The 26,061-nt window shown below is 39.6% G+C and overlaps 2 long non-coding RNA genes across 3 annotated transcripts in view, besides 1 other annotated feature; one reads left to right on the top strand and one right to left on the bottom strand.

Moving 5' to 3' along the window:
- LOC105377715 (uncharacterized) overlaps positions 1–19,121 on the bottom strand; it is a 101,339-nt gene extending 82,218 nt beyond the window's left edge. The window contains exons 1-3 of one of the 2 annotated variants that reach the window (XR_941204.3): positions 19,023–19,121; positions 10,265–10,405; positions 4,958–5,080 (exon numbers count right to left, since the gene is read on the bottom strand). This is a non-coding gene — a long non-coding RNA (uncharacterized LOC105377715). Of the gene's footprint in view, positions 1–4,957; positions 5,081–10,264; positions 10,406–14,269; positions 14,359–19,022 lie in introns of those variants that run through there. The other variant, XR_941205.3, reaches the window with a different exon arrangement.
- LOC105377714 (uncharacterized) overlaps positions 1–21,898 on the top strand; it is a 126,055-nt gene extending 104,157 nt beyond the window's left edge. Inside the window, exon 3 of the long non-coding RNA XR_941200.3 lies at positions 19,569–21,898. This is a non-coding gene — a long non-coding RNA (uncharacterized LOC105377714). The remainder of the gene's footprint in view (positions 1–19,568) is intronic.
- Positions 20,727–21,522: an enhancer, noted in NCBI's record as "OCT4-NANOG hESC enhancer chr5:168884987-168885782 (GRCh37/hg19 assembly coordinates)". NCBI's record gives its function as "activates a minimal SCP1, AML or CMV promoter by ChIP-STARR-seq in naive and primed H9 embryonic stem cells {active_cell/tissue: H9 hESC(naive and primed)}" and the evidence as "EXISTENCE:reporter gene assay evidence [ECO:0000049][PMID:30033119]".
- Positions 21,899–26,061: the final 4,163 nt, after the last annotated feature.

The following is a 26,061-nucleotide window of genomic DNA, read 5'->3' as shown; positions in this document are numbered from 1 at the left end:
ACTACAAGAACTACTAAAAGAAGCTCTAAATCTTGAAATAATTGCTGGAAATACATCAAAATAGAACCTCTTCAAAGCATAAATCTCACAGGACCTATAAAACAAAAATACAATTAAAAAACCCCAAGGTATACAGGCAACAAATAGCACGATGAATGGAATAGTATGTCACATCTCAATACTAATGTTGAATCTAAATGGCCTAAATGCTCCACTCAGATGATACAGAATTGCACAATGGATAAGAATTCACCAACCAAGGATCTGCTGCATTCAGAATACTCACCTAACACATAAGGACTCACATAAACTTAAGGTAAAGGGGTAGAAAAAGATATTCCATGCAAATGGACACCAAAAGCAAGCAGCTGATATAAGCAATTCTTATATCAGACAAAGCAAACTAAAGCAACAGCAGTTAAAAAAGCCAAAGAAGGACATTATATAATGATAAAATCTTTGTCCAACAGGAAAATATCACAATCCTAAGTATATATGCACCTAACACTGGAGATCCCAAATTTATAAAACAATTACTAGACCTAAGAAATGAGATAGACAGCAACACAATAATAATGAAGGAATTCAGTACTCCACTGACAGCAATAGACAGGTCATCAAGAAAGAAAATCAACAAAGAAACAATGGATTTAAACTATACCCTGAAATAAATGGACTTAACAGATATTTACAGAACATTCTACCCAACAACTTCAGAATGTAAATTCTATTCATCAGTGCATGGAACTTTTTCCAAGATAGACCATATGATAGGCCACAAAACAAGTCTCAATAAATTTAAGAAAATTGAAATTATATCAAGTACTCCCTCAGATCATAGTTGAATAAAACTGGAAATCCACTCCAAAAGGGACCTCAAAACCTTGCAGATACATGGAAATTAAATACCTGCTCCTGAATGATAATTAAGTATACAATGAAACCAAGATGGAACTTTAAAAATTCTTTAAACTGAATGGTAATAGTGACACAATCTATCAAAACCTCTGGGATACAGCAAAAGTGGTGCTAAAAGGAAAGTTCGTAGTCTTAAAGGCCTACATCAAGAAGTAAAAGAGCACAAATAGACAATCTAAGGTCACACCTCAAGGAACTAGAGAAACAAGAACAAACCAAACCCCAAACCAGCAGAAGAAAGGAAATAGCCAAGATCAGAGCAGAAATAAATGAAATTGAAACAAACAAATACAAAAGATAAGTGAAACAAAAAGCTGCTTCTTTGAAAAAATAAATAAAACTGAAAGACTATTAGCAAGATTTACCAAGAAGAGAGAAGATCCAAATAAGCTCAATTAGAAATGAAACAGGAGATATTACAACCGACACCGCAGAAATACAAAAGATCATTCAAGCCTCTTATGAACTCCTTTACATGCATAAACTAGAAAACCTAGAGGAGATGGATAAATTCCTGGAAACATACAACCCTCTTAGCTTAAATCAGGAAGAATTAGAAACCCTGAACAGACCAATAACAAGCAGCAAGATTGAAATGGTAATTGAAAAAATTACCAACAAAAAGAAGTCCAGGACCAGATGGATTTACAACTGAATTCTACCAGACATTCAAAGAAGAATTGATACCAATCCTATTGACACTATTCCACAAGTTAGAGAAAGAAGGAATCCTCCCTAAATCATTCTATGAAGCCAGTATCACCCTAATACCAAAACCAGGAAAGGACATAGGCAAAAAATAAAACTACAGACCAATATCCTTGATGAATATAGATGCAAAAATCCTTAACAAAATAGTAGCTAACTGAATCCAACAGCATATCAAAAAGATAATCCACCATGATCAAGTGGATTTCATACCAGGGACACAGGGATGGTTTAACATATGCAAGTCAATAAATGTGATACACGACATAAGCAGAATTAAAAACTAAAATCGCATGATCATCTCAATAGATGCAGAAAAAGCATTTGACACAATTCAGCATCCCTTTATGATGAAAACCCTTGGCAAAACTGGCATACAAGGGACCTACCACAATGCAATAAAAGCCATCTATGACAAACCTGTAGCCAACATAACACTAAACAGGGAAAAGTTGAAAGCATTTCCTCTGAAAACTGGAAGAAGACAAGGATGCTGCCCACTCTCACCACTTCTATTCAACATAGTACCGGAAGTCCTAGCCAGAGCAATCAGACAAGAGAAGGAAATAAAGGACATTGAAATCAGTGAAGAGGAAGTGAAACTGTTGCTATTTGCTGATGATATGATTGTATACCTATAAAACCCTAAAATTTCTCCAGAAAGCTCCTAGAACTGATAAAAGAATTCAGCAAAGTTTCAGGATACAAAATTAATTTGCATAAATCAGCAGCTCTTCTATACACCAACAGTGACCAAGCTGAGAATCAAATCAAGAACTTAACTCCTTTTGCAATAGCTGCAAAAAACCCCAAAATACTTTGTACCTAACCAAGGAGGTGAAAGACCTCTACAAGGAAAACTACAAAACACTGCTGAAACAAATCATAGACAACACAAACAAATGGAAACACATCCCATGCTCATGGATGGGTAAAATCAATATTGTGAAAATGACCATACTGCCAAAAGCAATCTACAAATTCAGTGCAGTTCCCATCAAAATACCACCATCATTCTTCACAGAACTAGAAAAACCAATCCTAAAATCCATATGAAACCAAAAAGAGCCTGCATAGCCAAAGCAAGACTAAGCAAAAATAAAAAATAAAAAACAAAAAAAAAAACCCAACCAACCAAACAAACAAAACAAATCTGGGGGTATCACATTACCTGATTTCAAACTAAACTACAAGGCTATAGTCACCAATGCAGCATGGCACTGGTATAACAATAGGCACATAGACCAATGGAAAAGAATAGAGAACCCAGAAATAAACCAATTTGTCAAATGATTTTTGGCAAAACAAACAAAAACAGAAAGTGGGAAAAGGACACCCTATTCAACAAATCATACTGGGATAATTGGCAAGCCACATGTAGGGGAATTAAACTGGATCCTTATCTCTCACCTTATACAAAAATCAACTCAAGGTCAATGAAGGACTTAAATCTATGACCTGAAACTATACAAATTCTAAAAACTAACATAAGGAAAACCCTTCTAGGCATTGGCTTAGGTAAGGATTTCATGATCAAGAACCCAAAAGCAAATGCAATAAAAACAAAGATAAATATCTGGGACCTAATTAAACTAAAGAGCTTTTGCACAGCAAAAGGAACAGTCAGTGGAGTAAACAGACAACCCACAGAGTGGGAAAAAATCTTCACAATCTATACATCCAACAAAGGACTAATATTCAGAATCTACAATGAACTCAAGCAAATTAGCAAGAAAAAACAAAACAATCACATCAAAAAGTGGGCTAAGGACATGAATAGACAATGCTCAAAAGAGGATATATAAATGGCCAAGAAACACATGAAAAAATGCTCAACATCACTAATGATCAGGGAAATGCAAATCAAAATCACAATGCAATACCACCTTACTCCCGCAAGAATGGCCGTAATCAAAACATAAAAAAATAGTAGATGTTGGTGCAGATGAGATGAAAAAGGAACACTTCTACACTGTTTGTGGGAATGTAAACTAGTGCAACCACTATGGAAAACAGTGTGGAAATTCCTTAAAGAACTAAAAGTAGAACTACCATTTGATCCCAGCAATCCCACTCCTATGTATCTACCCAGAGGAAAAGAAGTCATCATATGAAAAAGATACTTGCACATGCATGTTTATAGCAACACAATTTGCAATTTCAAAAATGTGGAACCAGCCCAAATGCCCATCAATCAGTGAGTGGATAAAAAAACTGGCGCATATATATATATATGATGGAATACCACTCAGCCATAAAAACGTATGAATTAATGGCATTTGCAGTAACCTGGATGGGATTGGAAACCCCAACCTGGATGGGATTGGAGACTATTATTCTAAGTGAAGTAACTCAGGAATGGAAAACCAAACGTTATTCTCACTCATAAGTGGAAGCTAAACAATGAGGATGCCAGGGCATAAGAATGACACAATGGACTCTGTGGATGTGGGAAGAAAGCGGGGGAAGGAGATGGGGGATAAAAGACTACAATTTGGGTTCAGTGTATACTGCTCGGGTGATGGATGCACCAAAATCTCACAAATCACCACTAAAGAACTTACTCGTGTAACCAAATACCACCTGTTCCTCACCAAACCTATGGAAATAAAAAATTTTAAAAAATTGTTTTTAAAAAAGAAATATTTGGGGATGGTGGATATACTGACTGTTTTGATAATGGTAATAGTTCCATGGGTGTAAAAATGTGTCAAAATGTATTAAATTGTAAATTAGTAGTTTATTAATAATGGATAGTTGACTGTATATCAAATCTTAATGAAGCAGTTTTACAAAACATTATAATCACTTTTCTGGATTTCTATAGGTAACATTCCTGCCCCATGTGAAATGTTGGATGAGGAAATCTTTAAGGTGAATTACAATTCTACATGCCCTTCTGTCCAACCACCATCGCAAATCAAAACAACCCACCATTTGACCATGATGTCTAAAATACCTTCAGTAGGTAACAGAGCCAATATTCCAACTTAGATAAGGCTTAAAGCTTCCAGGGGTACTTTGTGATTTCCCACAGATGTGCCATATGAGAGGAACCTCCTTTCTGTGTTTAGTAGATGTAACTTGGGATGGTATAAAATAGTGAGCAAATAAGAGCACTGGAAAGAGATTCTTTTCTTTGCTAGTAACTAGCTGTGGAACTTCAGGCAAGTCACTTTACTCTCTGTGCCTTTCTTAAGCTTTAAAATAAAGGAGTTGGACAAGATGGTTTCTAAGGCTCTTTTGGGCTGCAAAATTAAATTCTTAACTCGCCCTACCATCACAGAGAGGTCTTTAACACTGTTTCCAGCATGTGGAGTAATAATTTCACCTGTTATTCTTTAATAACATGATGATCCCACAGTTAGGTGGATTTACTGCTTACTGCAGCCACCTCCTGGCGTATTGCAGTGCAACGCAGGGCACATGAGCATATCAAGGCCTCTGGGGTGTCCTGCAGAGAAACAATGAATTTAATTGTATTAGCTCTCTCTTCCCAGGTTTTGACCACAGAAAACTTGTGGTCAAAGTTTTGACCACAGAATCATATGTTTCACTGAACACTTAATAAATATCTCATGATCCAGGGAACACTGATGTTGCAGGTTGTCTTCTAGAGAGCAAGAATTAATGTGGGGAGGGTGCTCTTGGAGGGCTGCTGGTATGCCAGCCATTTGGGACCAGGAAAGGGAGAAGTTGAAAAGGACGTGCATGAGAGTGACCAAGGATGTGGAAAGGGACAGCTGAAGGATCCCAAAAATGAGTAGACATTTTCGACTAGGCTGTTGGGGAAGGAGGGAAAGTGACTTCCTCCGGGGTGCGTATTCTGAGACCTTCAGAGTTGCCTTCATTACCTGCCCTCCCCAGCTCCATGCAGAGCTGCTGCAAAGTAGTTTCTGCACATCCATCAGTCTGCATGTTCTACTTGGCTTTGAATCTCTCTAATTGGATTAATATCAGATGGGAGTTTTTCTATTGCTTTGGCTCACTATCTCCTATTGTGTACAGAAGAAGAGTGTTTGGCGGGAGGGGGTTCTAGTCAGTACAAAGTTCCTCTGAGGCTGCTACTGCCGTCTCTCACAGACCTTTCAGATCCAGTGCTTCAGATACTTGAGGGAGCTCAGGTCTCACACCCCACTAAAATTGATGATTTTCACCAATGAAACAAACTTTGTTGCTTTTTCCTGTACATAAATTTGCTTTTTTATTTATTTATGTATTTATTTATTTATTTTTGAGGCAGAGTGCTGCTCGGTTACCCAGGCTGGAGTGTAGTGGCTCAATCACGGCTCACTGCAGCTTCAATCTCCTGGGCTCAAGGGATCCTCCCACCTTAGCCTCCTGAGTAGCTGGGATTACAGGCATGCACCACCACATCCAGCTAAGGTTTTTATTTTTTTTTTTGTAGAGCTGAGGTCTTGATACGTTGCCTAGGCTGGTCTCAAACTCCTGGGCAAAATAGCAAGCAATTCTCCCACCTCAGCCTCCCAAAGTGCTGGGATTGCAGATGTGATCCACTGCGCTTGGCCAGATTTACAAATATTCAAACAGATAAAACACTGCATAAAATTTTGAGAAAAACATGAAGTGAATTGACTTCTACTCCCTGTGAGAACCACTATCATTTTGATGACTTATCTTCCACTTTATCACTTTGTTACTTTACATATATATACATGCATTTCCTCTTTGTCACTTTATGTATCTATGCATCCACATTTGCACAAATGGGATCATAATGTATAAAAGGTGGAATAATGGCAACCTTAATTTCATCTGCTACTTTAACCCCCCTCACCATGAAATTTAACATCTTCATAGGTTCTGGGACAGGGACATCCTAATGTCATCCTGATGACATCACTGTCCTAATCTCCAGAACCTGTGAATATGTTACATTGCCAGGCAAAAATGTAATCACCTGGATCTTTAAATGTGGAAGAGGGAGGCAGAAGAGTCGATATCAGAGTGATGTGAGTTGACTAGCGAGTGCTGGCTTTGAAGATGGAAGGGCCAGGAGTTATGGAATGTGGGCAGCCTCTAAATGCTGAAAATCCATAGAACTCTATACATACCGTAAATACCGTTATTATCAACAACTTCTCCTCTCCTGAGTCTTTCGCCCTCCTTTCCTGGTCTTTACTTCCCCACCCCTGGTAAACAATGTTAATGACCTGGTATGTATCTTTTCCTGCATTTTCATGCATATACAGTCACACACATACATGCACATATTAACACATATACACACACAGATAGATGATTTTAAGATTATTTTATAGAAATGGAAGCACAATTCTCATTTTCATCATACTTGCACTTTTTAGATTACTTTCATAACTAAATACAGCTGCAAGTGACAAAACTGGGGTGGGAGTCTACCTGCCTTACAGTGATTTTCTCAGTGGTCTGAATGGGGCGCAGGGATGAAGCTAATACCATAGAAGGTGAAAGGAGAGATGCAAGGTTCTAAGCTGTTGGTGACCGTTTTTCAGCTTTTGGATTAAGCTTTGCTGTCTGTATGTGAGAGTCACCTTGGGACTTTTCAAGTACCTGGGCCAATATATTTCACTAATTTTTCAGCTGTTTTGAATTTTTTTTTTTGGTAACTTGGCAATACATTGCTTTGCTTTAGATATCCTAAAAGTCTCTTCCTCTTTGGCTACCATATTTTACAAGGTTTAGGAGGCTAGATGGCTTAATAGCTCCTTCCCTGCCACACCACCACATTTCAAATGCTGGCCACTAGTCAAACAACAGAAGCCCAATTCAAACAATTTTCCATATTCAAAAAGGAAGATTTATTAGCTCATGTACCCACGAAATGGAGAATCAGGAAACCACAGAAGTCATCCTCTCAGCTTGTTATCTTTCCATTTTCTCTGACCAGCTGCCTTCAGTGGACTAGAATGGTGGCTGCAAGCAGTGCTCAACTTATGGTACAACCAAAAAAGAAGGTACACTTTTCAATCCCAGCTTTGAAAAACCTAGGGAAAGGATTCTGATTGGCTGGCTTGGGTCTTGTGCTCTCCCACTGACCTAACTTCTGTGGACAGGTGATAAGCTCTGACTGGCTTAGCCTAGGGCACCCATCCACCCCTATGGCTATGGGCCGGGTCAGGGTCTGTTCCCAGATAAAGGAAACAAAACACAGACATTTCCACAGAGGATTGTCATTAGTCCATTACAGGGAATTGAGAGGTAAAAGGAGATAGAATCAAAGAAAGGTAAATCAGAGAACTCTCAGAGTTTCAGATTCTGTCCCTCTTGGGTCTCTGGGGTTTCTTGCTAAAATATGAGTAAATAGGACAAAATGAGGTATTTATGATGCACCACTGAGTGAGAGAAACAAGATGCATACAAGTGACATAAAATGCATGATTTGTCTCCTACATTTAACTCCTGGAAAGGTAGGCTGAGGCCAGTGGCTAATGAGGAAGATCCCTCTTGCCTCATGAAACATTCCCTAATAGGCCGGTAATTTTCAGAGGTCACAGCCTCACCTGTGGGCAGAAACACCTCACAGATGCTCACGTTCCTAGAGCTCTTCTGGCATGAGGGCTCTGGCTGTCGTGTTTTCTGTCCCTCTCTGCTGGATAAGTCCTCATGCTTCCCCTGGCAGCCAGACTGGATGGCATTTTGAGTCAAGCTGTCTCTTGGAAGCTGAAACCATTATGAGAGCCTGGGTTGGGATGGAGGGACAACTGGCATTCGGCTGAGTGGGAGGACAGGGAACAGCTTACCAGCTGCTGAGGAGCTTGTTTGCAAAGTATGAGAGAGGGGAGTGGGGAGAGAGAGAGAGAGAAGAAAAACTGTGTGTGTGTGTGTCTGTGTGTGTATGTCTGGGTGTGTCCATGTAACATTCAATTTATTATTACAAATACTTTGTTCTTTCATAACAGACTCTTTTGTCTTCTGAATGTTTCTAGAACATATGCTGACTTCCTTAAGATTATTCTCTCATCCAAGCCTGGGAAGGAAAAATGGCATGGGAGGCTCAAACCTGTCAGGGATGGAGTAGGGTCTCTAGGGGCTATGAGGCCAATGCCTACCTTACCTCCTGGGATAGGCTGTTTTGCATTGCTATAAAGAAATACTTGAGGCTGGGTAATTTATAAAGAAAAGAGATTTTATTTTGGCTCATGGTTCTGCAGACTGTGCAAGAAGCATGAGTCCAGCATCTTCTGGTGAGAGCCTCAGGAAGCTTTTACTCATGGCAGAAGGTGAAGGGGGAGGCACTGGGGGAGAAGCGTGTCACATGGCAAGTAGGAGCAAGAGAGAGAGAGAGAGGGAGGAAGTGCCACACTCTTTTAAACAACCAGGTTTTACATGAACTCAGAGCAAGAACTCACTCTCACAAGGAGGGCAACGAGCTATTCATGAGGGATCTGTCCCCAAGACCTAAACACCTCCCACCAGGCCCCACTTCCAACACTGGAGACTACATTTCAACATGGGATTTGGAGGGGACACCCATCCAAACCATGTCACCTCCATTGTCTGTGGAGGACTCAGTGCTCCTCCCTCATTTGCATTCCTGACGTGGGTACGTTCAGCTGTTTTGTGGGTTGGTCCTGGTGAAAGGTCCCTTCCATTCACTTCAGCTACCAGCCATCACGATGATATAACAGACCCTCTTTATTGAGCTCTTGTTATGTCTCAGTCGTTTTAAATCAGAGAGGTCATGGAGTGCAGTGGTTGGGAGTGTGGACTGTGCAGTCAGATGCCTTGACTTCAAGGCCTTCAAGGAGCTGGCCTTTCCAGCTCCTAACTTGGAAGCATCTCTTAAATGCTCTGTTTCTGATTTCTCACCTGGGACCCGGGGCTAAAAAAGTAGTACCCATTCCCATAGAGATGCTTGGAGCAGTTAATACGATAATAGGTGGAAAGAACTTAGAAAAAGTGTTTAGAAAACACGCAAAGTATGTTAGCAGTTGATGCTAATCCTCATAACCTTCTTGGAAAGGAGGTATCTTATCTGCATTTTGGAAATGAGAGAAGTTATTCTCTGGGACCAAAATAATAACTAGTCTGGATCACAAGAAATCTAAGTGATAGAGCCAGAATTCATATTCTTCCTTCCAAATGGCAAAGCTGACCCAAAAAAGGGGGGACCTCTTAACATTCATGAGCTTTTGGGAAGGCTCATTCCTAGCTACAAGACTTTGAGCAAAATATCATACATAACCTCTCTGACTCTGTTTCCTCATTTGTGTGAAATGGATGATAATACTTTTGCATACTGTTACGATGGCTAAATGAAATAATGTAGTGGAGATAGTAAATATTCATCTCTTTTCAGCTTCCTTTCTTGCTTTTTTATTGAAACAGGGTCTCACTTTGTCACCCAGGCTGGAGTGCAGTGGCACCATCTCAGCTCGCTGCAGCCTCAACCTTCTGGGCTCCTGAGTAGCTGGGACTACAGGTCTGCACCACCACACCCAGATAATTTTGGTATTTTTTTATAGAGACGGGGTTTTGGCATGATGGCCAGTTTGGTCTCAAACTTCTGAGCTCAAGTGATCCACCCGCCTTGGCCTCCCAAAGTGCTAGGATTACAGGCATGAGCCACCGCACCCAGCTTTTTCTTACTTTTTATTAAAACAATAAAATATGATGGACAAGGTAGATTTCTTACCTGAGAATTTGTTCTCAAACGTTAAATGAATCCTTTTTGGTTTATTCAGTGTTGGAGGTCATCTGCAGTCCCACTCTCTTTGTGCTGACAGAGTTAGCAGCTAAGGATCATCATTTTCTGCCCAAACAGCCTCTTTCCTCCCTGGAAGGACATGGGATATGTGTGCAGTAGTAGGTGGCACAGGGCAGTGACAAGCATTGGACAGGGAGCCAGAATATTGGAGCCCCAGCCTGGCTGCAATCACCCATCATGTGTGACCTTGCCAGTCACTGAATATTGTTTAGATCCCATTTCCAATTATAAAATGTTAGCAATGATGTGTACTCTGATGGCCTCACACGGTTATTATGAAAGACCTACGAAAGGATGAGGATGAAATATTAGTATTGAATATGATATTTTATCCTCAAAATCAAAATAAGTAACATGCTATACAAATCCAGGGATCTTGATTAATGTCAGACCCAAGCCTATCACTCTTCTTGGGAACTTCAGGTAGTCCCCACTTTCTCCTCAGTAGCCTCATAGTCAAGCCTGGCCCTAAATGGAGTTGGGCCCTGGAGGTCAGGCCATTTGGAGATTCATAAGGCCTCAGGTGATGGCCATCTGGCAGCCCCTCTGTGGTCCCTAGGAAAGTGCACAGAGAGAATGGTGAGCTGCTGGTGTGAAATTTAAACAGGCTGGACCCTCTTTAGTCTGGGAATGGAATTCACAACTGCCAGAAAGAGCAGGCAGGAAAGTGAGAAATGCAGAACGTGATAACAAGTGCTCGTTCCCAACAAAGCTGGGCTTGGCATCTACACACCACAGTTCAAATCTTAGCTGCAGGACTCAGCAAGCCACATCTCTTCTCTGGACTCACATTTCCTTCTCTGTGAAAATAGAATCATCACCCCTGCTCTGCCTACCAAAAGATTTGGCATGAAGATCAAGTGAGATCATGCATGTGAGTTTTACAAACTGTGTGACATCATATAAACTGTACAGCACCCAAAACAGGGAGTCATATGAATTCTTTTTTTATGTGAACAAGAAGGCTTCTGGTTTTTCTTCTCACCCTCAAAACTTTACAGTGACCCTGCCCCATTCCCCCGCTCTCTCCCAGCCTGTCCATCACCTCCATGCCCACACAATCCCCTCTAGCTATGATCGTTTTGAGTATAGGGCAGTGAGAGCATGGGACCAAAGGCAAGTTAACGACTGACATCAGACTGACCTGGTGACTGTTGTTCTCAGACCATCAGATGCTCAACCAGTGACAGTTAGGAGTGAACAAAGAGAGGAAGACTAGGGAGAATGGCAACCTCATTCCCAGGCTGCAGAATAAGGATTTCTGCACAGGGGTGATATTTAAAATATTTTACAACCTATAGGGCAGGAAGATTGGCCAATGCCCACTTGGTACTGGAGGAGGCCCCGGGAGCTCCCTGCAGTATTAGGCATACTCTTTTGGTTGCAGGGTGGTGTGGACGTCTTGGTCATGGGGGATGGACCAAGCCCCCAGTGTGATGGGTGGGAGCAATGGATACTAACCAACCAGTGTGCAAATCTTTCAGTATTTTCAGTTTACAACTATTTCAGTACTGACTTAACTGAGACTATCAGATGAGTATCAGACTAGCTTTGTTTATTCAGACAAGCGAACAAACGTTAACTTTATCTCCAAGGAGTTGGGCAAGGTGCCTGGAGCTGCCTTCACTTCCTTCTCCTCCTTCACTTTTCCTCCTCTCTCTCTTATTCATCCCTTTCTCTTTCTCTACCCTTCCCTTCATCTTTCTCTCCCTCCACACTTTTAACACAGTATATAAGAAAAAGTATGAAAAATAGTGGGTGCTTTCATGCACATTCAGACCTCATCAGACTTTGGCTCTCTCCCTTCTCAGTCATTATATTGAAATAATTTAATTCTCTCTTTAGCCTTAAAAAAATTGTTTATATTTCAGCCACAGGGTTAAGTAAACAATTGATTCAAACAGGAACAAGGCCCCTCCTTTTCTCCCCCAGCCTTCCTCTTAGAGCCAGACTTGAAGGTTTTCTTTTTAGAGAGGGATTTGTGATTGCCAGAGAGAATAATGGGGGAACCAAAGAGACGATTAATTAGGTCCTGCGTCAAGGCCAGGATGCAATAAAGAGCATTCATGGAACAAATTCATATACATTTACATGAAAACAATTTGTATGTAAAACTGTTTTTGTAACACAAATAGTGCTGCTTGTTGGTTTCTTCAAGAAAAGAGAAGCTGATTTGTGAACTAAAAGGTTATGTAAAGAAATTCCAGGGTGTGTGGACCCTGGGCTGGTCTATCTGAATCCTGCTCTACCCTTTACTGATTGTGTTAACTTAGGCAAGTAACTTAATAGCCCTGTTTCTCAGTTTTCTCGTATGTAAAATGTGAAAGAGGAAATAGTCCCTACCTCAGAGTTGATGTGAGGATCACATGAGATTGTACAAGAAAGCACTTAGAGCATTTTCTGGCATATAGTAATTGCTCAATACAAGTTGATTTTTTTCATGTGCTCTCATTCCTCACTGTGGTAGAGACAATACTCTGTGCCCATCAAAACCATGTTTTCTTTCCTCTTGGGTACACAGCTGGATGTTAATACTCAACTTTTTTTTAAGTTTGGTTCAGACATATGACTGAGTTCTGCCAATGAAATCTGAGTGGAAGTGATGTGAACCTCCAAACCAAGGTGATTAAGAGAGGGTTACTTTGTCTATGTCCTCTGCAGTGCTCCAGAATCTTAGGCAACTATGTGCAAGGAGGCTGGGTCCCTGAATGACTGCGTGGAGCAGAGCTCTTCCTTCCACCACCATTCTGTTTTTGAACTGTGACACAAGCAAGAAATAAACTGTTGGTGTGTTTTCTACAGATATTTGGGTGTTTATTTGTTATAGCAGTTAATGTACCCTGACTAATACAAAGTAAGCCTCTTTGCTTAAAATTTATGTGGGAATCACAGCTTTGTTTTCCCTTCTTCTTTCCTGAAGGAAAATAAGTTTTCTTTTTCTCACATGTCTGTTTTCTTAATTTTTTTTTTACAAGGAAACGCTTTCTGAAGAGTAGGCACAAGTTTAAGAAAATGCAAGGATGCATCTAATAGGCATTGGCTGTGATTCATGCTATCTGGGTCTTTCCAGATAGCGTCACATAGTAGCAAACACATGGAATCAGATAATTTGGGTTTGAATCTTGGGTCTGCCACTTACCAATTGTGTGACCTTGGCCAAGTTTCTTAACTTCTCAATATGTTTTCTTATCTTAAAAATTAGAATCATACAAAATTTAAAATGTACATGCCTTGGTCCGGAAGTCATCATATCAAAGTACTTCAGGAATTGATCGTATAAAAATACTCCCACATGTGTCCAACAATATATGTATGAAGATACTTGTTGCAGTATTATGTGTAATAGCCTAAAGTAGGTCTATCAGTGAGGGAGAAGCTAGATAATTTTGTGGTTTATCCATACTTTGGAATACCTAAAACTTTTTTTAAAGAAATGAGATTAGCATCATATATGCTGATCCCTAAATGCAAAAGCAAAATTCACAAAAATAGTATAATTCCGTTTATGTTCTTTAAATAGCTCTATATGTGTAAATATAGAAGTCTATTAGCACAAAGAAAAAGCTCTAGAAAGGCATAAGACTCTAGTGGTACATCTACAAAGATGTAGCATACCAGTAGGCACTTCTGAAATGGGGAGAATAATTGAGTTAGGTAAGAGAATAAAGGGGAATCTTTATTTTCACTCTCACATGTCTACTTTTTTAAATTTTTTACAATGAAACTTGTTTATGATAAAAGATAAAAAGAGAACATGGTGATAAAAATGGTAAATGTCTCACAAAGTTATAAAGTTAAATTGAGATAACATAAATGAAAGTTTTGGGAACACGGTAATCCTTGAGAAAAACAAGTTACTTTTGCACTGTTTTATTCTTCTTAGGGATTCAAACCTATAGGTTAGACTTTTAAACAATGTATTATATAACTTACAGACCCTTCTCATGTGGGCATCTGGCTCTCTCTGCTCTTTTCTCTCATTCCACTATTGTGTACCCTTTTCTTAGGAGGCTCTTCCTCTGCCATATGACCCTACTTTCTTCATTTTTTTTTTTTTGAAATGGAATCTTGCTCTGTTGCCCAGGTTGGAATGCAGTGTCACAATCTTGGCTCACTGCAACCTCCACCTCTTGGGTTCAAGCAATTCTTGTGCCTCAGCCTCCTGAGTAGCTGGGATTACAGGTTCACACCACCACACCCAGCTGATTTTTATATTTTTAGTAGAGACGGTGGTCTCTCCATGTTGGCCAGGCTGGTCTCGAACTCCTGACCTCAAGTGATCCACTCACCTCAGCCTCCCAAAGTGCTAGGATTACAGGCATGAGCCACTGCGCCTGGCCACTCTTTTTTTTTTTTTTTTTTTTTGAGACAGGATTTCATTCCTGTCCCCCAGGCTGGAGTGCAGTGGTGTGATTTCACTGCAGCTTCTGAGACTTCTGAGGCTCAGGTGATCCTCCCACCTCAACCTCCCAAGTAGCTGGGACTACAGGTGGACAAAACCACACCAAGCTAAATTTTTTTGTTTTATATTTTTTGTAGAGATGGGATTTTGCCATGTTGCCCCAGCTAGTTTCAAACTCCTAGGCCCAAGCAATCCTCCTGCCTCAGCCTCCGAGAGTGCTGGGATTACAGGCATGAGCCACCATGCCTGGCCATGACCCTACTTTGTGCTACCATGGCACTCTTGACTTTCCCCGTTTATGCCCCTTAAGCACTTTCTAGTTCTAAAGGGGCAAAAACTTACTCACTCAAAGCATGGCCTCAATCTTCTTCCAGCCTGAGCTAACTCTTCTGGTCATTTTATTCATACATTGCTGAGGCCAATACAATTGTGATCAGACACCAGCAGAGGAGTATCAGGACACTACTGCTTTTGGTCCTTGAGATTTTTGAGATTCGGAGTCTGAGTTTACATACTAACTCTGCTTTGTTGTAGATTCAATGGGTTGGGAATTTGGACAGGGCACAGAAGGGGTAACTTGCTCTATGCCAGGATGTCTGGGGCCTCAGCTGGGAGACTCACATGTTGGGAGCTGGAATCATCTGAAGGCTTCTTCACTCTCATGCCTGGTTATTGATGCTGGCTATTGGCTAGAGGCCTCAGTTTCTCTTCACATGGGCCTCACCAAATGGTCTCTCCACATGGACTTGATTGGGCTTTCTCATATGGTGACTGGGTTCCAAGGACAAGCATCTTGAGAAAGGTAGCCTTTTATGAATTAGCCTCAGAATCCATAGAGTGCCATTTTCACTGTATTGCATTCATCATCAGTCACAAGGTTTTGCCCAGTTTCAAGAGGAGGAGAAATAGATCCCACCTCTTGATAGGGAGTTACAAAGTTCTGGAAAAGTATACGGGACCAGAAATATTGCTGTAGCCATTTTTGGAATTATAACTTGCCACAGTTTACAAGCGCTGAAGTTCCTGGAATGGAAGAGACCATTCCATACTTGGAACTTCTGGATTGATGGCTAATTGAAGTGGTCTGGAACTTCTTGGGTTGATGGTTTGAGTTTATGGGCTGTGCTAAGGGCTGAGTGTGGGCCTGGATTTTAGGGTTTCTCCCAACTGTTTTTCTCTGGCAGGAAAGTGAAGACCTACAGCAGATAATCTTATTATATGTTCCCCACCATACTCTAGGCTGCAAACCTTCCAAAAATAAATTCAGCTCATAAAAGTTAAAAGAGTCAACTGAGCACATCTTCTACCTTTTTGATGAACATGTTTTTGGTACTTAACCTCCCAATATTTGGATTCCAAGGTCCTCCTAGTTGATGGCATGGACCTACATGCTTCCTTAGGACTTCTTGTGGGGAAGAGCCCAGAGTGGAGACCTGAACAAATATACCAAATTAGAAAAGCAGTCTTTCTTCTTGTAGAAAAGCTGCTAGTAAGAAATATCTGTCTCTTCCTCTTTACACATTCAGGTCTCTGCCTGGAAACATTCCACATAAAGATTTTAACCTGGTGATGGTGATAACAAACTCTATTTTTCTCTGCCCTAAGAGGAAAGGATTCAGTCCTAGGGGCCAATTGATGTATTTTTCTGTCTTTGGTACTCAAGCCACTGAAGATTGGCAACTGAAATTAATCTATAATGGAGTTGAATGAGATATGTCATTCTTTCTTATTCTGTTGGTTTCATTATATCTGCAGAAAACTCAGGAAATATAAATTTAGTTGTGACTGTAGTGGGGATAGTGGTGGTGGCAGATTACTGGGTGTGTACTAGGCTGGGGAGGAAGCTCTCCCTTTCTTAGGGCTGTATGTTGTCTTAATCAATTTGGGCTGCTATACCAGAACACCATAGACTAGGGGGCTTAAACAACAAACATTTATTTCTCACAGTTCTGGAGGCTGGGAAGTCCAAGATCAAGGTGCTAGCAGATCCAGTGTTTGGTGAGAGCCCTCTTCTTGGTTTGTGGACAGCTGCATTCTCATTGCGTCCTCATGTATCAGAAAGCAGAGAGGAGAAAAAAGCAAGCACTCTTGTGTGTGTCTTCTTGGGTTGATGGTTTGAGTTTATGAGCTCATAAGCTTATAAGGACATTTATCCCATTCAAGAAGGATTGCTCCACCTTCATGAACTAATCCCCTCCCAAAGGTTCTGCCTCCTAACATCATCATACCTGGGCTTAGGATCTCAAAATATGACTAAACGGGGAACATGTTCAATTTACAGCATGTGTCTTGTCTAGAATATCGAGTTGTGGCTGCTTGTTTTCAATCCATTTTTATTGTCATTGAGATACTCACTGTCCAGGCTGAAGACTCAACAGCTATCTAAAGGAAGCTCTTCTCAAGACAAGAGCAGGAGCACAAGATGGCCTGAGCTCAGAGCTTGTGCACTGCCACTTCCACTGCATCCAATTACTCAGGCAAATATCATTGCCAAGCCCAGAGTCAAAGGGAGGGAAGTATACTCCTCCCACAATGAGGCTGTGGCATAGGTATGGGTGCAGGAAGGGATGAAGAATGGGGGCCAATAATTCACTTTATCACAGTCCCTCTTTCTTTGTTTTCTCCCTCCTAATTATTTACTTGTTGAGGAAACCAAATCATTTGTCCTATGGTATTACTCACATTCAGAATTTTTCTGACTGCATTCCTGTAGTGTCATTTGACATATTTCTCTGTTCTTTGTGTTTTCTTTTCTTTCTTTTTTTCTTTTGAGTTGGAGCCTCACTCTGTAGCCCAAGCTGGAGTGCAGTGGCATGATCTCGGCTCACTGCAACCTCCGCTTCCTGGGCTCAAGTGATTCTCATGCCTCAGCCTCCAGAGTAGCTGGGACTACAGGCATGCTCCACCATGCCCAGCTAATTTTTTTTTGTATTTTAGTAGAGACTGGGTTTCACCATGTTGGCCAGGATGGTCTCGAACTCCTGAGCTCAGGCGATCTGCCCACCTTGGCCTCCCAAAGTCCTGGGATAACAGGCGTGAGCCACCATGCTTGGCCTGTTCTTTGCATTTTCTATACATTGGTAGTTAAATCTAGAGGCTTGATCTGATGTGACAAGGATCCTTTACAGGTAAAGTGAATGGCACTTTTATCAAGAGAAACATAATGTCTCATTGTCTCTCTTTTTGTGTTGTTAGTGGCAATCACTGATCCTTGCCTATATCTCTTATTTAGTTCGGGGTTTGCAAAAGGGTAATATAATTTCTTCTTCATTTATTTTAGAGAAGTCTTCCATCACCTGTTTAGTATCTGCGGTGCAGTTCTACAGGAAAGAGGTCTGGATGCTTGGTTCTTCCCTTTATTTACCAGTTTCCAGGGTAACGTATTGGTCCCCCAGAAGCTCCAAGGAGGACAATGAATATTGGTTTTAGTATCTTTATGAACGCATGGATTTTTGACATATTTGAAGTGTTTTAATCTCTTGGTTTGATATGATTTATATCAATGTTCAGTTCATCCCACTTTAGTCAGTAGAAGCCTCATTGAGTTGACTCCTGACTTTCTAACATGACTCTCAAGCTCTGACGGTGTTCTTGCCGTCAGTGTGACAAGACATTCCAGGATCTTGTCATAACATTTTCTTCTATGTTATTTTTGTTGTTGTTCTGAAGGTTCTTGGTTAACTCAGAAGAGCAGCTACATTAGCGTGCCAGATTGAAGATGCGTCAGACTGTCTGACACGTCTACCCTGTCTGGGGTAAGGCAGGGAAATTCAATGAGGAAATGGGCATTGAAGATGGATAAGATCATGTTTTTTGACTAGGCTACGAAGAAGAAAGTGGGAGTAACAAACTGAGGAGGAACCCTGGGATTTCAGGACTCTGACATTCTTATTTATCCCTTTTGGTCTGACTCCTGTAGACCCTGGGCCCAATGTTCTCGAGGGGCTTGTGGCTAGAACAAGAAATGCATGTAACAACTATTAATGAGTATAATGGATTCGTCCCAGGGCAAGGCTGTTTCTGGACAATAAAGCATAGCCTTCAGGCCCTGAGGCACAGCTTCATTTTGAGCTGTCTCCCTGGTTGTTCAGATAACCGTTTACAGATCAGCGCTTCATTCTTGGGTTATGAACAGCTGGTAGCAATTTTCCTGCACTAAAGAACTGCTAATTATCCTATACACCACACTTAATTCATTCCTTGTTGGCTGAGTTGCTAGTTCACCTACTCATTGTAATTACTCCTTACTTTCATCCCTTTTTTCACCGTCCCCTTCTCTCCCACCTTGCATCTTCAGCACCACAATACAGCCAAGTTTGATCCAATTGAACAGAAGTCCCTTAGCACTGGTGAGTCTCCATGGATCAGGAGTTGAACCTCTAGTTCTCTGCAGCAGACCACCTAATGATGAGAAAATGAAGGCTCCAGGGAGAAATTGTCATCTCAGCATTATGATGGAATCAAAAGGGTCACAAATGGGAGGCTGACACCATGGGATCTAGTACCAATTCTTCTGCTGTCATTCTGTTTATCTTTGACTGTGTCATTTAATTTTGTATCTCAGTCTTTTTTTTTTCTTTTTTTTTTTTGTTTTGTTTTTTTAATCTCTAAAAGAGATAATAGTTCTTGCCCTGCCCACTTTGCAGGCTAAAGAGGGATAATGTATATTAATAGAATTATGAAGTCCTATTAAGTATCCAAGTTGACAATTTAAGTTTTATGACATATTACTATATCCTAACAGTAAATGGTATGGAGAAGAAATTCCTCTAGGCATGTGAATAATAATCTGTTATTTCTAAAGAGTTTTTCCATGTGTTATCTTAATAGGTCCTTGTAATAAATGATGAGATGGATTGACAACTGGAATTATCCCTATTATGGGTTGAATGATGCACTCCCAAAAGCTATACTGAAGTCCTAATCCTCAATATCTCAGAATGAGAAGTTACTTGGAAATAGAGTGGTTGCAGATGTAATTAGTCAAGATGAGGTTACACTGGAGTAAGGTGAACCCTTAATTCAATATGAGTGGCGCCCTTTTAAGAAGAGGACACAGAGACACACAGGAGAATGCCATGTGATGACAGACAGAGCTTGGCATGATGCAGCTACAAGCCAAGGAACACGAAGGGTTGACAGCCAACACTAAAAGCTAGGAAGAGGCAAGGAAGGATTCTTCTCTACAGATTTTAGAGGGAGCATGGCCCTCTTGACACTTTTGTATTGGACTTCCATCTTCTAAAACTGAAAGAATGAATTTCTATCGTTTTAAGCCACCTAGTTGGTAGTATATTGTTCTGGATGCCTCAGAAAACTAATAAAATCCCCTATTTCTGGTCAGTATGCTGAGGTTTGAAAAAGTTTAATTGGCAAATGTTAATTGCCAAGAGCCTACTATGTGCTGGGTGGTCTTCTAGGCCTTGGGTATTCAGTTCTAAACCAAACAAAGTTAAAATTGTACTCCGGGGCACATGGCTTTTTAGAGACAAGTAATATGAAACCCCAGTCTCTAGGCTTCCAGATCAGCATTTCAGTTTTGGTTTATTTCAATTATGTCCTCTCTAAGTAAGGAGTGACTCTAATATTGACAGTGCTTATACTGACCATGAATGTGCCTGAGTCACAGACATCTCAGTGAACTCCTTACTAATGAACTTATATTTCCCCACAGATACCTTACATGTATCATTACAGCCTTTCTAGGCCTAAGAATGGACACCCTTTCTCTTTTCCTTGACCCAGAATTTGGGTTACAAATAATCCAATGGGAGAGCAGCTATTGATGATGGGGCATTTCGGAACAGAGGGAGGAAAAGGGGAATTCCAGATTGCTACAAGATTTCTAATTGTGGGATGGGTATTTAAAGCCCTGTGAAAGGTTGGAAGTCACTGGCTAAGGAACTTCTGCAGAATAGTCTCTTTGGAGCACCTGAACTTACTCTTCCAGGTATGGGGAAGAACAGATAAGGGCAGAGTGTGACCTGACTGCACCCCTCCACTACCCTGTCCCCTGAAAAACTACAGAGATCAAAATTTGGCCCCTCAGTTCCCTGGCGATAAGGGCTAAAGGACTTGGTTCTTTCATCACTTAAGGTAAAGAAAAAGTAAAATAAGTGTGTACAGGAACCCTACTCCATAAATAAAACCATCTATAACAATAGCCTTGAAAGACTTATTTCAAGACCTTCTCCCTCCCTCCCACCTTGACATTTTAATGGGGCCGGCAGTTTGAGCTTCATTGTAATGGAAACCAGAAGACAATCTTCAAAAGTGAAAGGCTACAATGGAGGTCCCAGCAGCCTTTGTGTCTGAATTTATCAGCTTTGTCCTCAGCAAATGGCAATGTTGCCTGACAGGCAATTACTGCTGTTCCTAATTGTTTCCATCAAACTCGGCTGTTTGAAATACCTAGCGCCCCATACCAAGCCATGTTTCAGCCAACACTGTTTTCTTGGCTTTGATTAATGCTTTATTTTTGGCACGCTGGTTTCTCTCTGGCAATTGAGTCGTTCAGAGCTGTTAAACTTTCCAAAGACCCTCTCTGATCAAAGCCAGAAGACAATCTAATTAGGTCCTGTCTTAAGTGGAAGATTAGCAAAGCAGAGTGTCTCCTGTGCAGCTTGTCAGTACTTGGGGAGAAGATGAAAGCTCTACTTAGAACTCTGCTCATAGATATACAGTCCACAATAGAGCTGCTTGACAGTGGCATTTTCTTGAGTGCATGTAGAAATGGGTATTCGTGTGGGGAACTCTGAGTCCCATGAGAAAAGATAAATGGTCTTATATTTTAAAGTATGTAAGTTTTGATAGCTTGCTATAGGAAGCATAATTTTTTTTCTTGACCTGAAAGGTTTCCAATGTGATTAAATTAGAACTCTTATTTCCCTCTACCCCACTTCAGTAGAGTTCACAACCATCTTCTGTTACCAATATATCTTAGTTCCCACCAGCTTGCACTTGGACTAGGATCATAGCTTTCTAACTGTTCTCACTGCTTCCTCCCTTGGCTCTCTCCAATTCATTCCCCGCAAGGCGGAGGAATGTACTTTAAAAAAATGTATATCCCAGAAAGAGCTACCTACTATATGGTCCTGTGTATACGACATTATAGAAAAGGCCAAACTAGAAGGAAACAATGTTTTCCAGGACTTTGGTCTAGGGGAGGGCATTAACTGCAAAGCAGAAAAAGGGATTTTTTTTTTTTTTTTTTTTTTTGAGACAGAGTCTCGCTCTGTTGCCCAGGCTGGAGTGCAGTGGTGCGATCTCGGCTCACTGCAAGCTCCGCCTCGAAAAAGGGAACTTTTTAGGGCTGATGGAAATATTCTATATCTTGATTGTGGCATTGGTTATATGAGTGTAGGTATTGTCAAAACTTATTAATCTGTACACTTAAAATAGTAAATTTTATTATATATGAATATGCTACAATAAACCTGACTTTAAAAAAATATAAAAAGATCCAATCTTAGGGCTTGTTTTATTTGTCTAATGCAGAGCTCTGCTCTGTATGGACAGCCTTATCTTTGGGGAATTTGTCAAAAACAAGCAGTAGCAATTGATTAACATCACAGCTGCCTGAGGTGTCCATACCATTTGGGGCTAACAAGAGACTACAGAAAACAAAAAACAAACAAACAAAAATCAAAAACAGAAACAAAAAAACCTTAAAAGGGAAAATTGGGGAATGAGATGTTTATAGGAAAATTTAAGAGACCTGACGTATTCTTGGCCATTCATAGGCAGGGCAGTGCACATGTCCAGGAAAGACATGAGAAGGCACTAATCTCACACCTCTGGCTCACAATCAAGAATCTAAGACTAAAGCAGAGTTGTAAGCTAACTACTAGGGTGTTGAAACCATGTCCCAACACAGATACAGAACCTCTTGACGACACCTGAGGGACATATTGGGTCAAGGCATTTGAGGAAATTTCTGTTGAATCATTGGTTGAATACTAAGCTAACCAAGTAGAGACCTCAGGAGCTGCACACAATAAAGAATACAGATTTTACAGAATTAGTCCTGAAAAGTCATTAAACAAAAACATAGAAACTGTCACAAACTCTGGGAAGGGACTGGAATCCAATTTCCAGAGTTGTTATATTATTTTAAATATCTAGTTTTCAAAAAAAATTATGACATATGCAAAGAAACAGGAAAGTGTGGCTCATACATAAGAATAAAAGCAGTAAATACAAACTGTTCCTGAGAGATCCCAGACATTAGACTTACTAGACAAAAAATTTAAATCAGCTGTTATAAAATGGTTCAAAGAAATAAAAGAATCCATGTAAAAAGTAAAGTATGAAAATGATATCTCCCAACTGGAGAATATCAATCAAGAGATAGAAATTATTTGTCAAAAAATAGAAATCCTGGAATTGAGTACAGTAACTGAAATGAAAAGTTTACTAGAGTAGCAGAAAAGTAAATTTTAACTGGGGAAAGAAAGAATCAGCAAGCTTGAAGATAAGTCAAAGTTTGCTTAAGAAAAGAAAGAAAAAAGAATAAAAAATATGAACAAAGCCTCAGAAATCTGTGGGAAACATCAAGCCTATCAACATACCCATTATGGGAGTCCTAGAAAGAAGAGAGAAAGAGAAAGAAGCAGAAAGAACATTTGAAGAAATAATAGCCCAAGCTCTTCAAGCTTAGTGAAAAACATTTAAATCTGCACTTCAAATATGCTCAACAAATCTGAAGTAGAAAAAACTCAAAGGGTTTCATATCTAAACACATAATAGTCAAGCTGTTGAAAGACAAAGAGAAAATCTTGAAAAAAGCAGGAGAAAAACAATAAGGGATATTCAATAATAATTAAAACTGATTACTCTTCAGAATATATAGAGGCCTGAAAGCATTGAGATGACACATTCCAAGTGCTAAAAGAGAAAGACTGCCAACCAAGATTTTACAACCAGAAAATTATTCTTCAGAAACAAAGGAGAAATTAAGACATTCTCAGATAAACAAAACCTGAGAGATTTTGTCACTAGCAGACTGCCCTACAAGAAATATTAAAGAAAGTCATTCAGGCTGAAATTTAAAAACATTAAACAGTAACTTGAATTCACACACACACAAAATATAAAGAACACCAGTAACGATAACTACATAGCTACCACTTACCTTGGTAAATATAAAAGAGAGTATAAATGTATTTTTTGTTGTAACTCTTTTTTCCTATTTGACTTAAAACACAAGTGCATAAAGTGATCATTGTCGATGGACTTTTAATATATAAATATGTAATTGATATGATGATAGCAGCATGAAGGGGAAAAATGAAGCTTTATTAGAGAAAAGTTTTCTTACATTATTGAAAATAAGTTGATATTAATCTGAACTAAATTATTTTAAGTTTAGATGTCAGAGCAACCACCAAGACTAACTTAAAAATATGCATAGTAAAGAAAATGAAGAGAATTAAAATGGTATAGCAGCAAATATCTATTTGTCACAAAAGAAGGCAGTAATGGTAAATAGATAAACAAGAAAGACATAAAACATATAGAAAACAAGTAGCAAAATGACAGATGTAAATTGTGCCTTATCAGTAATTACATCAAACGTAAATTAACTAAACACTTTAATCAAAAGACAAAGATTGGCAAAATAGATTTAAAAACATGTTTCAACTGTACATTATCCAAAAGAGACACACTTTAGAGTCAAATACATAACTAGGTTGAAAATAAAGTTATAGCAAATAGATATTTCACAAACAATAACCCAGGAGAACTGAGGTAGGGGGACTACACTAAAATCAGACAACATAGGATTTAAGACAACAAGTGTTACTAGAGACAAAGAAAAACATTTTGTAATTATGAAAGTGTCAATACACGAGGAAGATTTAACAATTATAAACATATATGCACCTAACAGCACAACCTAAAACACATGAAGCAAAAACTGATAGAACTGAAAGGAGAAATAGGTAATTCGTCAATAATAGTTGGAGATTTCAATACCCTACACTAGCTAGAACAACTATACAGAAAATCAAAAGGAAACAGAAGACTTAAAAAACAGGATAAATTAAGTAGACATAATATATAATTATAGAAGTGTTCTACCCAATAGTAGTAGAATAGATATTCTTCTCAAGTGCACATGGGACATTCCCCAAAGTAGACCATATTTTAGGCCATAAAATCCCCCAAATTTAGAAGGATTAAAACCACACAAAATACGTTCTCTGGCCCTTATGGAATTAAATTTGAAATCAGTAACAGAAGGGAATTTGGAAAATTTGCAAATATGTGGAAATTCAACAACACACTCCTAAATAACCAATGAGCCAAAGAGAACTCACAAAGGAAATTAAAAAATACTTTGAGGCCATGCACGGTGGCTCATGCCTGTAATCCCAGCACTCTGGGAGGCCGAGGCGGGTGGATCACTGGAGGTCAGGAGTTCGAGGCCAGCCTGGCCAAAATGGTGAAACCCTGTCTCTACTAAAAATACAAAAAAAAAAAAAAAAATAGCCAGGTGTGTTGGTGCACACCTGTAATCCCAACTACTCAGGAGGCTGAGGCAGGAGAATTGCTTGAACCCAGGAGGTGGAAGTTGCAGTGAGCTGAGATTGCACCGCTGTGCTCCAGCCTGGGAGACAGAACAATAATCCATCTCAAAAGAAAAAAAGAAAAAACAACTTTGAGATGAATGAAAACAAAAACACAGATCCAAAAACTTATGGTATGTGAAAGCAATGCTTAGAGAGAAACTTTACCTGTTACTGTTGATATTAAAACAAATCTCAAATCAACAGCTTAAACTGCCACTTTACAATGCTGGAAAAAGAAGATTACACTACATGCAAAGCTAGCAGAAGGAAGAAAATAATGCAGATGAGAGTGGAAATTATTAGGAAAAAAGGGATTAGAAAAAGAAAAGAGCAAACCAATGAAATCAAAATTTGATTCTTTGAAAAGATCAATGAAACTGACAAACTTTTAGCTAAATAGAGCAAGAAAAAAGAGAGAAGACTCAAATTGCTAAACTTAGGAAAGAAAATGGGAACATCACTACTGAACTTAACAAAATTAAATGTGTCATAAAGGAATACTACAAACAATTGTCTATCAACAAATTAGATGACATAGATGAAATGGACAAACTTTTAGAAATAGACAATCTGAGTAGACTTACAATAACTAAATGGAGTGAATTAGTATTAATAGTATCTTCCCACAAGGAAAGGCCCAGGCCCAGTTGGATTCACTCTTTAATTCTACCATATGTCTAAAAATAATTAATATCAACCTTTTGCAAACTCCCAAAATTTAGAGGAGGGAGCACATTCTAACACATTCT

The sequence above is a fragment of the Homo sapiens genome, chromosome 5 (genome assembly GCF_000001405.40).
Source record: "Homo sapiens chromosome 5, GRCh38.p14 Primary Assembly".
Lineage (NCBI taxonomy): Eukaryota > Metazoa > Chordata > Mammalia > Primates > Hominidae > Homo > Homo sapiens.
The sequence above is the reverse complement of the archived record's forward strand: the minus strand, read 5'-3'. Positions and strand labels throughout refer to the sequence as shown.